This window comes from Homo sapiens, chromosome 20 (assembly GCF_000001405.40).
Source record: "Homo sapiens chromosome 20, GRCh38.p14 Primary Assembly".
In the NCBI taxonomy this organism is placed as follows: domain Eukaryota; kingdom Metazoa; phylum Chordata; class Mammalia; order Primates; family Hominidae; genus Homo; species Homo sapiens.
The window spans coordinates 9,418,862-9,431,987 of NC_000020.11; the positions used below are offsets into that span (position 1 = coordinate 9,418,862).

General features: G+C 38.8%; 1 protein-coding gene across 20 annotated transcripts in view; it reads left to right on the forward strand.

Moving 5' to 3' along the window:
• Window positions 1-13,126, forward strand: part of PLCB4 (phospholipase C beta 4) — a 412,131-nt gene that overhangs the window by 350,184 nt on the left and 48,821 nt on the right. For all 20 annotated transcript variants that reach the window (XM_024451898.2, NM_001377134.2, XM_005260724.3 and 17 more), the window contains 3 exons: window positions 946-1,048; window positions 2,436-2,600; window positions 4,887-5,091. In XM_024451898.2, coding sequence (XP_024307666.1) covers window positions 946-1,048; window positions 2,436-2,600; window positions 4,887-5,091 — 473 coding nt within the window. The remainder of the gene's footprint in view (window positions 1-945; window positions 1,049-2,435; window positions 2,601-4,886; window positions 5,092-13,126) is intronic.

A 13,126-nucleotide genomic window follows, 5' to 3' on the forward strand; every position in this document is an offset into this window, starting at 1 on the left:
TCAAATTGTAGACACTTATTTTTTTTAAAAAAGTTTATTCCTAAGTGGTTTATATTTTGCTGTTGTTATAGAATTGTTTTCTTAATTTCATTTTTGCATGTTCATTGTCATTGTATAGAAATACAATTGACTTTTTATATGTTTATCTGGTATCCTGCAATAGTGGTGAATTTATTTATTCCAATAGTTTTTTTAGTGGATTCCTTAGAGTTTTTTTTTATTTATGGGATCATGTCATCTGTGACTAGAAATAGGCTTACTTCCTTCTTTCCAATCTGGATGCCTTTTAATTTGTTTTCTTGCCTGATTGTTTCTACTAGAAATGGAGAAATAATTTATTTTTATTTTCACCTACCTCTAGCTGAAATGTCAATTACCTTTGATTGTGAATGTAGACAACAATCCACAGTCACATTAGTGGTACCCGTGACTCTCTCACCAATGTAAATCACAGACATTGTCATATTTCACTACTATTGTTACAGCTGTCTCAAAATATTTTTGTACTTTAGATTATTGTCATCATAATTAGATCTTACCATTAGATCTTATAATTTAATGCATTATTACAAGTACAATTAATACAGAGGTAGAATATCACATATTTTTATATTTTGATAACTATAGCTAATATAATTGGTTTTTCATTGTTATTCTTTGCATTTTATTTTATACATATAAAGAAAAGTATTTAAAGGTGACCAGGGGATAAAAAAGTTCCAGAGAAGATGATAGGATCAGGAAGTCCTGGATACCACTGAGGCTGCAGCTCTTTAAGGTTGTGCATAAGGGCGGGCACATTCTCTTCCATCCTTAGGACCCTCTGCCTAAAATCCTAGCTCCTGTGTTACAGATGGAGAAAAGGAAGCATCCATTGTTTCAACTAGCGAGTGTTTTAGTCTTTGTAAAACCTACTAATAAACTTCTATGCTATTGTCCTACCAGGTACCTTCTCAAACCAGATTTCATGAGGCGGCCTGATCGAACATTTGACCCCTTCTCTGAAACTCCTGTTGATGGTGTTATTGCAGCCACTTGCTCAGTGCAGGTAAGGCCCCTGCTCATCACAAGGTAGTATAAATGTATACACAAGTGGTCCTTGAAAGAAATTATAAAATATTGAATGTTAAATTGCAAGATCCATGTGCTGCTCACAACTTTGACTTAAGATTCCACCCCCTTTTTAAAAAATGAGACCCATTTTTTCACTAGTAAAATTATTAGCTACTTAAAGTGAAAGATACCATCAAAAAAGTACCTGCTACTTGATTCCATTTATACAAAATTCTAGAAAATGCAAATTATAGTGACAGACAGTAAATCAGTGATGGCCTTTGAAAAAAGGGCAGGGAGGAATGGGTTACAAAAGGGCACAAAGAAACTTCAGGTGATGATACAAATGTTTATCATCTTAATTATGGAGGTGGTTTCGCAGATGTGCTCATATGTCCCAACTGATCTAATTTTACATTTTTTTTTTGTTTTTTATTTTTTGACACTGAGTATCACTCTGTCGCCCAGGCAGGAGTGCAGTGGCACAATCTCGGCTCACTGCAACCTCCTCCTCCCGGTTTCAAGTGATTCTCCTGCACCTGTAGCTGGGATTACAGGTGCCCACCGCCACACCTGGCTAATTTTTATATTTTTAGTAGAGATGGGTTTTTACCATGTTGGCCAGGCTGTTCTCAAACTCCTAACCTCAGGTGATCTACCTGCCTCAGCCTCCCAAAGTACTGGCATTACAGGGATGAGCCACCGTGCCTAGCCTAATTGTACATTTTAAATGCATATAATTTATTGTATGTCAAATATACCTCAAAAAAGCTGTTTCAGATTGTTAGCTAGAAAATAATGTAAACAAAAAACCCTAATAAGTGGCTATAGTCATTTAAACACTAAATGAAAAATCATCTCTCCATAGCTTTATCGTAGATAGACTAACATTATAAAACTGTCCTAGCTGACCAGTGTCAATATCAGTAATGACAGACAAATTCTAGCTTCACTTTTCTGTGTGTCTCTTTTCAAGACTTCTAAAAGAATTCATTAATAAGTATGGCATGATGGAATTTCAGAGCTATGAAGGGTCTTAGGACATACCTGAATTCATCACTTCATTTCATAGGTGTAGACACTTAGGTGAGATGAAGAGGCCGTGGACACTATTTGTATTATGATTCATATATATTTTTTCTTTGTTTTTTTTCTAGACAGTTCTAGAAGGTAGAACATCTGCTTGAAACAGCTGGGGTTTTTTTGCCTATAGTAGTTGTTCGATAATGTTTTGGTTTGATAGAAATGAATACATTATTGCCATAGATAATTGAAATTCCTGCTCCCACCCAAAAGACAGAATTTCTTACTTCCTGATTATTTTTTGCTACTGATGCTTACACAGAGCTTACTTCTCTTTGCTCTCGTTCGTGCTGCTACAGGTTATATCAGGTCAATTCTTATCAGATAAGAAAATTGGCACCTACGTAGAGGTGGATATGTATGGGTTGCCCACTGACACCATACGTAAGGAATTCCGAACTCGCATGGTTATGAATAATGGACTCAATCCAGTTTACAATGAAGAGTCATTTGTATTTCGGAAGGTAGGACATTTTCAGCACGTCAAACTTACTCTAATAACTTGGGAGCCATGTTTTAGTTCACAGACGCTACACGATACAGGGGCACTTATTCAACCGACAACATCTTCTTTTTCTCTTCTCCTAATGGCTAACTTCTGTAGCTGTCATAGGATCATTGGTTCTATTTGGCCCTGCCTCCTTTTGGTTCTCCTCTCCTCCTTGGAAGAGCCCATCTCCTGCACAGCAGTGCCTCAGCTCTGGGTTTACCATCTTTTAGAATGAGTCCTTGCTGGTGGACACCATCGTACACTAGAGAGTTCTTCCCTACCCTGGAAGTTACTGGTAACTTACACTATTCCTTTAGCCAAGTAGTCAGGTAAGATGCTGCACTCCAAAATTTTGGTCAATAGATGTCACTACATGGGTCAGTTGGCATGGTCCTGTCTCTCCTGAAAGAGTGACACCTGTTGCCTACTTGCAGGTCTTATCCTTCTTGTACTGTTGTTAGTGTTTTATTTTTTTCTCCTAATACCGTATGTTGGATCCTAAAAACAATCACAGCCATTCTCTCTAACGTTCGGTTGTTAATCTCTTATTCACCTTTTCCCTTGGTTTATTTTTTGTCTATTGAAGATGCAGTGGAAAATCCGCACACCGGCAGTGCTGTCTCCAAGAATGTTCACTTTCCTTTCTTACTTACTCTGTTGTCCTGACCACAATGATTTCTTGCTGCTTCTTTAGGCACAAGTTTTCCAGCTGGTTCTGCTCCATTTGTACATCATGCAACACAGATAATCAGCTTCTTTCCTTAACAAAATAGGGATTATCCATTTCAGAATAGAGTAACTGGCTTACAGAAACCAAATGAAGGGAGATCAATGTAGGTTTGATGAAACAGGCCATTTTGACATTTAAGTTTACGCTGGGATCCACACAATCTTCGCATCCCATTGTCTTCTTCTCTGCCCCTGTCAGGATATGGTGTAAATTACATGCATAGCTGTGATTTGGTTTTTTCCTTCCCTGGTATTTCCAATTTGTTATAGCTGGATCCGTTACCAGTATGGCTAGTGTTCTTTGGCATAGTGAATAATCCCTACTCACATTTCTAGAAGCTGAGAAAGTTGACTCAGGCATTCTTTGTTTTGGATGAATGAGAAAATACCCAGCTTAGTGTTTATATATAATAGTTCTGGCACTAGAAACGAGATGCCAATTCTGAGTCCTTCTCTGTTCTTCAGAAGTTAAATCGTTTTTTTCATTGCTAGCAAGTGCTTTAAAAACTTTGTTTTCTTTCTTGTCATTTTTGTATTTTTCACTAATCTCACATGGCAAGAATGGCAAATCCCAAGCCTCTATTCACTGCATAAGGAGCAAGAGAGAGGGAAATTGGCTAAGTTACCATGGTTTCTCCTCTTCATCTTCATTAAGCTGGAATTAAATTATAGCCTTCAGATGTAAATAGGCAACCAGTCCATTGTCTAGCTTTAAACATAGCACTCAGATCAAGCAAGATGTCCTGGTTGCTTTTAGCCAATAAAAAGGCATTCCTGATTAAACACATTGGATACCCTTTTTGTAATGTTGCTATTTTGTAACTGAATCAGGTTTCTGCTATCTGAACTCAGATTTTATGTTCATTTATTCCGTTTGGGGATAGCAGGAGTAGGTGTCTTAGAATCAAAGTATGTTAATGTTTCTAGCTACCGCATCTTACTCTATTTAACATCCCAACATTTGCTGGAAACTGAGGAGTACAAGAAACAAGGAGGACCCAAATTTATGTACAAAAGTTATCTCTTATGCATGAAGCATTTATTCAGAGATACTTAATTTATTTATTCAGAGATACTTTATTTATTCAGAGATACTTTCGTATTCTTAAAAACAAACAAATATAGATGTCAGCAATATGCCAGATATTAGATCACAGGATTAGATCCCCAATTCCCAGGCCCCACTCTGTCACTGATATGTCTAAGATCAAGGAAAGTGGCTTTATTTCTCATCCATTATATGGGTGGGGACAAGGATCAATCACAAGGGTTGAAGTGGTAATCTTTAACATTCATTTCATCTAACATTTTTCACGAGATAATTTCCAGGAAACATGTTCCAATTGCTTTTCTCAGTGTCTTGGGCACTGTAGCTCATGCAGTACATTTTGGGGAATGCAGATGGATCATGGACTTACTTTCAACATCAGGGAACATTTAAGAACAGCATGGATTTGGTCCACACTCCTTAGAGTCATGGTTCTTGGGCGCTGCATTGGAAAAATCAGTGAAAGTCCTGTTCTGTTTGCAGGTGATCCTGCCGGACCTGGCTGTCTTGAGAATAGCTGTGTATGATGATAACAACAAGCTGATTGGCCAGAGGATCCTCCCGCTTGATGGCCTCCAAGCCGGATATCGACACATTTCCCTTCGAAATGAGGGAAATAAACCATTATCACTACCAACAATTTTCTGCAATATTGTTCTTAAAACATATGTGCCTGATGGATTTGGAGGTAAGATAAACATTTGGGTACGGAATATGATATAGATGAGGTCCTAGATTATAAGATTATAAAACATCTTGTCCATGCTTTAAAAAACAATAAAAATACTGTCTATTCCTGCTAATGCTGCCAACCCTGATTACCTTGAATACATCAAGAATACATCATAACCTCAGGTTTCATAGTAAGAAATGAAAGTACAAAACGAGATGATCTCTAAAGTCCTTTCTTATTTTAAAATACTATAATTTTATGTTGTTTATCAATTTTTACAAACACATTTTGTGAAGGGTATATTTATATTGACAATCAGACTAGGGAAAAAAACATAAATAAGGTGAAACCATAGATATCTTATCAATAGTATCGCTAAAAGATTTAAATTGAACTCAGCTATCAACATGCCTGAATTTTCTTCCAAATCCACAAGAAAGTTCAATTTCATAAAAAATCCTAGTCATCAATCCATATGCTTTAAGGTAATCAATGGGAGGAATCCAAAGCTAGATTAAGTCATAGAATTTTGCTTACATGCAAACATGTTAACTTTTTATGGCCTCCATCTAAGCCAATACATTAAAAGAAAGCAAAGATCCTCTATATTGTCAGCCTGTTGAACCATAAGGAAATAGTACAGCAGGATGATGGCATCCGATTAGCCAAGGGTTCAAATCCTTACTCTCCACTGCTGGCAGGGTGATCTTGGGAAGAGGATGTAACCTCTCAAACCCCTCATTTCCTCCCCTGCAAAGTGAAGATAATAATAACTACCTCCCTCATAGCATTATTGTGAGGTGCTTATCATTAGAGTACATGATATAGCAAGGCTCAGAAATGTATGAGCGCATGGGGGTGGGCGGGGTGTCTGTAGACACAGATATAATTTCTATACTTCACTGGAACACATCACTATTTTATCTGGGGAATATGGGATAATTTTGCTGTTTGTTTTTAGTAGTGCATGCTTCTGTGGAGGGCAGATTTTCTGCAACTAAACCACAACTTTACCAGTCTAATATCAGAGTCAAAAATTAAAATAAGCCATGAGGATTTTTCCATCCCAAAATTCATAGTCCAGGCTCCTTCCTCCTTCTCCTTTGTCTTTCATAAAAAAAAAAAAGGAAGCACATTAGAAGCTACAACATACAGTAATAGAGGTAACAACCCATAAAAAGCCTGGAAAGGGATGCTGTGAGGCTGGGTAAGAGGATCAGAAAGGGGCACTGGAGACAAGTGGTAGGTTTAGGAGCAGCAGTCCGTGGCAAACCTCAGAAACCTCCCTGCAACACAGCATGGTGGTGGCCATGGGGCATCAGCTGATGAGTTAAATCATACTCCACATACGTGAGCTTAGAAAGCAGGAACTGTGGAATACCTCATACATTTTAGAAATAGTTGTATAAACCCATATGATGGAAGATTTAGAAGTTTTGCCTCTGCATGGGTTAACTTCCCACTGAAACTCTAATTCATTCTTGGGAACTAAGCCACTCGAATAGAAAAGGGAAAGAAATCATTTGTTTAGCTTCTACTTTATGCCAAGAGCTTTATGTAAAGAGATCCAAAAGCATGAAGTTGTTCAGAATGGATGTAAGCATAGGGAGATCTGTGCTGCAGAAACATCTGTATTTACAATGTAGCTTATTACCCATGTTGTATTTAAGTATTTAGCCAAATTAATCTCTTTAATATTAGTCCTGCCAGTATTCTTTCCTAACATGTCATTGTGGCTGCTTACTTTTTATCAGAAGCGTTTGAAATTTCTATGTACCATTGATGAGATTCTGCAGTCGATGCCTTAACCAGAGTTGACATTCAAATACAATTTATTCAAAATTCTCTGGTCATTTATTTTATATGTGAAGAAACCAGGGACAGACATTATGCGGTGTCAGGGACTTCCCTGTAGATAACAGAAGAAGAATATGAGAACTGTCTTTTTCCAAATCTCTGATCTTCTTTATAGCTTCTTGACTTATTCAAAATATACTTATATTTTCCCTGTTTAGCCAACCTCCCACATTCATATCTCAGTGTGTTTATGTGCTGAACCAGTGAGATAGGAAATCTATAGAGTCTGTGTTCCCTGGAGTATTGATATTCCCTCTTCATTCCACAGGAACAAGTTCAAGATGAAGCTCAGCACCATCACACTCAGCATTTTCTAGAAAAAAAAATGTTTTTTTTCCCCTAGGAAAAAAAAGAAACTCATCAATATACATCATTAGATTTATATTTAGCTAAAGAAAGATAGTGTGGATTTTCATTACTTTTTTCCACAAATATGCATAGCAGGTTTATTCTATAAAAAGTTAAGTAGCTAAAATATGTATCAGAGAGCAATTCTGAGAACACAGAGGATCAAATGAGGGTCACTCACAAATCTGCTGCCCAGAGACAGCTATTGTTTACTTCCAGTCTCTTTTTTTCCTGTTTGTTTATTTATTTATTTGAGACGGAGTTTTGCTCTTGTCACCCAGGCTGGAGTGCAGTGACACAATCTCGGCTCACTGCAACCTCCATCTCCCATGTTCAGGCGATTCTCCTGTCTCAGCCTCCCGATAGCTAGAACTACAGGCGTGCACCACTATGCCCAGCTAATTTTGTGTTTTTAGTAGAGACGGGGTTTCACCATGTTGGCCAGGCTGATCTTGAACTTCTGACCTCAGGTGATCCACTTGCCTTGGCCTCCCAAAGTGCTGGGATTACAGACGTGAGCCACTGTGCCTGGCCTTTTCTGTTTTATTTTTAATAAAATTAAATCTTACTATACTGCTAATTTGGAATTCTAATTTTTTTTTAGAATATGTTTCCATGTCATGAAATATTTTTATATTTTTATTAGCTGTATAGGATTACATTTTATGTCGGCCATAATTTAGTTATGGATAAACACTGAAGTTTTCTTCCTTGGCCGCTGAGGAAACAGAGTTAGGAATTTGAGTGCAACTCCTTCTGCTTCTCCTTCTCATTTCTATAGCATAAAAACTCTCAAAACTGGCCAGGCGCGGTGGCTCATGCCTGTAATCCCAGCACTTTGGGAGGCCGAGGCGCGTGGATCACATGAGGCCAAGAATTCAAGACCAGCCTGGCCAACATGGCAAAACACTGTCTCTACTAAAAATGCAAAAATTAGCCTGCCATGGTAGCACACGCCTGTAATCCCAGCTACTCTGCAGGCTGAGGCACAAGAATTGATTGTACCTGGGAGGCAGAGGTTGAAGTGAGCCGAGTTCATGCCACCGCACTCCAGCCTGGTTGACAGAGCAAGACTCTGTCTCCAAAAACAACAACAACAACAAAATAACTCCCAAAAGACACAAAGAAATAACAGAGCAGTGATGGCTACCATGAGTTCTGAACCCTTCCTGGCTGTTTCTAAGCAGCCCAGATGCAAAATGTCCAACAATACAGTCTCCTATCAGAAAAAAAAAAAAAGTAACATTTAGGACAGATGATTAGGAATGAATCATGAAAACTTGGCTTAATTTTTTCAATATTATTTTGCTACAAAACGTAAAGAAAAACAACCCTGTCTTTTACTCCCTCTGTCATACACAAATAGAAGTACTAGATTGGGTGCTAGGAGCATTCTTCCTTTGTCAAATCCAATGAGACTCCGAGTGCTGGGATTATCTTTGCTGCTTTATCTGTGGGTGCCAACGCCACCGTAGATGGCATTTGCCCATTGCAAGGCTTTATCAGTGTTAGACACTGCTGTAGGAGACAGGAAGCAGTTCCAGGGCTAATGGCAATGAAACGAGGGTCAGTATTTCTTTTTCACCCACTGTTGCTTTGGGTGGGTTTTATCACTTGTGTTTATTTTATTATTACTGAGTGATAGGGAGGGGAGCAAATAAGAGAGTTGATGCTTTGCTTCCGAAATCTATGGAGCCTCAGCATTGTATTGAAATGTCACTCCCCGCTGTGTTTCATGAGCCTCCCAGCGCTTTGTTCCTCGGGCAGTGCTGATCATTACTTCTGCAACCATAAATTTTGCCTCCTCTTCTACAACTATTTTATGTCAGGGAAGATGAAGTGACCCTCTATTTCTTTGTACATTTCCCCTTTCCACCTTCCCTATGATTAAAAATACATCTTGGGTCTCTGCCCAGGGTTTTCATAGGGTTGCTTTCCAACCATTTTTACAAAGATAGTTGACTGTTTCTTATATCAGATATTTCCAGAGAAAGAATGTTCTTAATTAAGATGCCATTCCTGGGAAATAATCTCAGGACTTCCTGATGCAGTTTAAACTTGTTCCATCTGTCCTCTTCCTTAAGGGTGCTAAAATGTCATATTTTATTAAATATTTGTTGAAAAACCCAGTTGCATATTCACAGTGATATCTTTCTTGTGGCCTTTTCTGTACTACAGAAAATATTAGTCAGACTTCAAGAAGAAAAGCTCTGGAGGGGAAGGGGGCAGGATGGATTATGGTAAAATACTTTGGAAATTGCTAGACTAAGCAAATTTAAACAGGCTTATCTATTGCATGGCTCCTGGGATGTATGGTGAATGCCCAAGGGGAGGGGGAGAACATGAGCATTTCCCAATCTTATTTGACACAGGATCTTGTTGCCCAAGCACCTACTGTATTTTCTACCATTCTAGGAAATGCAGTTTGAGAAATGCTTAATCTTTTGGTAGGAACCCAAAGGACTAAGACAAAATCATAGACTTGGGATTTGCCTTTCTTTATCAGCACCACATTGCAGCTGATAGGGGAAAAGGATTTTTCTTCTGCCTGTACCTCTTGGTAAGTTAGGAATAGTAGAGGGGAACGGGAGGGAACCTGGGCCAGGAGTGAGCACATAGGGGTGGGGAGGGGGAGTGTAGGTGCCATGGGCAGTGCTCACCACTGAGGCACTCAATGATTTGAAAAGCATTGGTTAAACAAACGAAAATCAACTGAGTTCTCCTGAAAAGCCAATAAGCATCTGGAAGTCTGTACTAAGGAATTGCTATCTTCATTTCCATTCTTAGAGACACCTACATTGATGCTTTCAACTCTATATGAAAGTCAGGAAGCATGGCAGGGAGGAAGGGAGGGGAAAAGCAGGGCCTACATGGAGAGTCTTTACTAGGAGAGACCAGCTTCATGGAAATGACATTATGCCCAGAAATAGATGGTGTTTTTAAAAATACACATAAGTAGAGCTTTAAGTTAAATCTTAATGAAAGAACCAAATCAGAAAAAGCAGACTGGTTTCTTTTAAAAAGAGAGGTTCCGGAGCCCCTGCTGTGGCCTCCAAGAATCTAGGGTGTTTTAGGCCACCTACATGGGTTCTGCAGAGTCAGGAGTTTGCATGCATCCATCTCTACCCTGTTAGATGTACAATGTGGCTCCCCCCAGCAAGGCCTACTCACCTGCCAGTGGATGCCGATCAGCACTGGAAATGAATTCTTGCCACAGTGATTTATCCTGTGGAACCCTAAACTAAATGGGAAATAGGCAGCCACAGTATTCCCCAATAAAAGGAAGGAAGCCCAGTGAAATGTCATATTGGCACCAAAGAAAGATACTGGGTTTACTTGAATATGCAAAACTTTGGCCAAGAATATACCAGATTTATTTAACCACTTCCTCAAGTTATTTTTCTGGGCTGAGGCAAGGAAAAAATAAATACCATTTTTCAAGTACAGTTACACAAGTAGGTAAGTATGAGATATTTGAGGTAGAGCTTTTCATTCTCTGATTACAGATTATTTTAAATGTGGCTATTAAAAATCAATTTCCTTTTTTGATATGCAGCACTCTTCGTATCTACCTATCCATATGTCTCACATATATATGCCTCTGGCCAGTGGAGAAACTGAATTACAATGAAAAATTATCTTAAAGATGCCAAGGCAGGCCTTGGCTCCCTAATGCTGAGCCCTTTGCACTTTGGCAGAGAATTTTTGTCAGAACTGTCCCAGGTATTCAAATGCCATTCTTCTGCATTGTTCTATAACTCCAGCTACAGAATGAACACCTGCCACCACATGACCCAATTAGACATCCTAGAAAGGGGTATCCAATCTTTTGGCTTCCTTGGGCCACATTGGAAGAATAAGAATTGTCTTGAGCCACAAATAAAATATACTAACACTAACGATAGCTGATGAGCTATAAAAATAAATAAATAAATAAATAAAATTTAAAAAATAAAAATAAAAAAAGTTTGTGCATAATTCTCATGTTTTAGGAAAGTTTACAAATTCGTGTTGGGCCACATTCAAAGCCATCCTGGGCCACATGTGGCCTGTGGGCCATGGGTTGGGCATGCTTATCCTAGAAGTATCTAGTTTGTTATATGAAATTGCTAGGAATGAAGCATCCATTTCAAATAGCCTGCTAACTTTAGCCTTGCTCAAGGCATTTAGTCCTTTTGTAATCTCTTTTTTGTCTTATCTGATTTAATTTGAACAAACCTTACTTTACACTTTTCATATTTTTGTTGCATTTTGTTCAAGAACATTATATTGCATTATTATTGTATATTGTAATTTCTTAAAGGTAAAGGCAGCCTCTAACTGCAAATAAAACATCTCAAATAAGACGTTTCAAAAAATAAGACCAAATAAGGCAGCATGTTAGGATCTGGCATCATATGTCCCTAATAGTGTCTAGATTTGTTAATATTGGTAATTCAAGATAGAGTTAAGTAATGATATTTATCCAGCTAATGGATAAATCTTCAGCAGGCTCCGATTTTGTTGTATCATTTAGGTGACATCTACATAATCCGATAGCAGATGGCTGATGAGAGCATCTCAGATAGCTTGCCTGTGACAAACAAGACAATATGTGGATTCAGCTAGGTCAGGATTGTGTAGAATCAGCCCTAGAAGCTGAGACCAAGACATTGCTGCATAAACAGGAGGAAAACCACTGGTATTCTAGCAGGAGGTCTCCAGGGGCTGCTGGACCCTCCATAGTCTTAATGATAAAGCCTGCCTTGTACACTTAAGCACATGACTTTTTATGGAAGATGCATACCCAAGAATTTAAGTAGTGAATTTTTTTCCCCTCAATTACTGTTGGCAATCGAATGTACAGTTGTCTTGTTCTCCCTCTGCCCTAGTTTCCTAGAACTACTGTAACAAATAACCACAGACTGGGTGGTTTAAAACAGCAGAGATTTATGGAGGCTAGAAGCCTGAGACTAAGTGGTGGGCAGGGCCATGCCCTCTCTGAAGGCTCTCGGGAAGAATCCTTCCTTGCCTCTTTCTGGCTTCTGGTGGCTTCAGACAGTCCTTGGCATTCCTTGGCTTGAAGATGCACCACTCCAGTCTCTGCCTCTGTTGTCACATGGCCTTCTTCCCTGTGACTCCATGTTCTCTCCCTTCTTATAGCGACACTAGTGATTGGATTTAGGGCCCACCCTGATCTAGTAGGATCTCATTTCAGTCCTCTTCTAAAACCTAAGCAAAGACCCTGTTTATAAATAACATCACGTTCTGAAGTTCTAGGTAGACAGGAGTTTTGGTGGACACTATTCAACCTACTCCACCCTCTTAATTCTGCTTTTAATTTTTATTTTTTATTCTTTATGAGACAGAGTCTTGCTCTGTCGCCCAGGCTGCAGTGCAGTGGCATGATCTCAGCTTACTGCAACCTCCACTTGCCAGGTTCAAGCAATTCTCCTGCCTCAGCCTCCCGAGTAGCTGGGATTACAGGTGTGCACCACCACACGGGGCCAATTTGTGTGTGTGTGTGTTTGTGTGTGTGTGTGTGTGTGTGTGTGTGTGTGTATTTTTAGTAAAGATAGGATTTCACCATGTTGACCAGGCTGATCTTAAATTCTTGACCTCAAATGATCCACCCACCTCAGCCTCCCAAAGTACTGGGATTACAGGCATGAGCCACCGTGACCGGCCTCCGCTTTATTTTCTTAGTACTCCTTCCATTCATCATTCTTCAATAACTATTTTAAAGCTTATTAAGAATAAATTTTGTTAGGAATGCCTATCAGGCATATGAGTTATATAAAGTGCTATATTATTTAACTAAACCATTAACTTTCTGATAAAATGACAAAGAAATCATTTTTTGCAC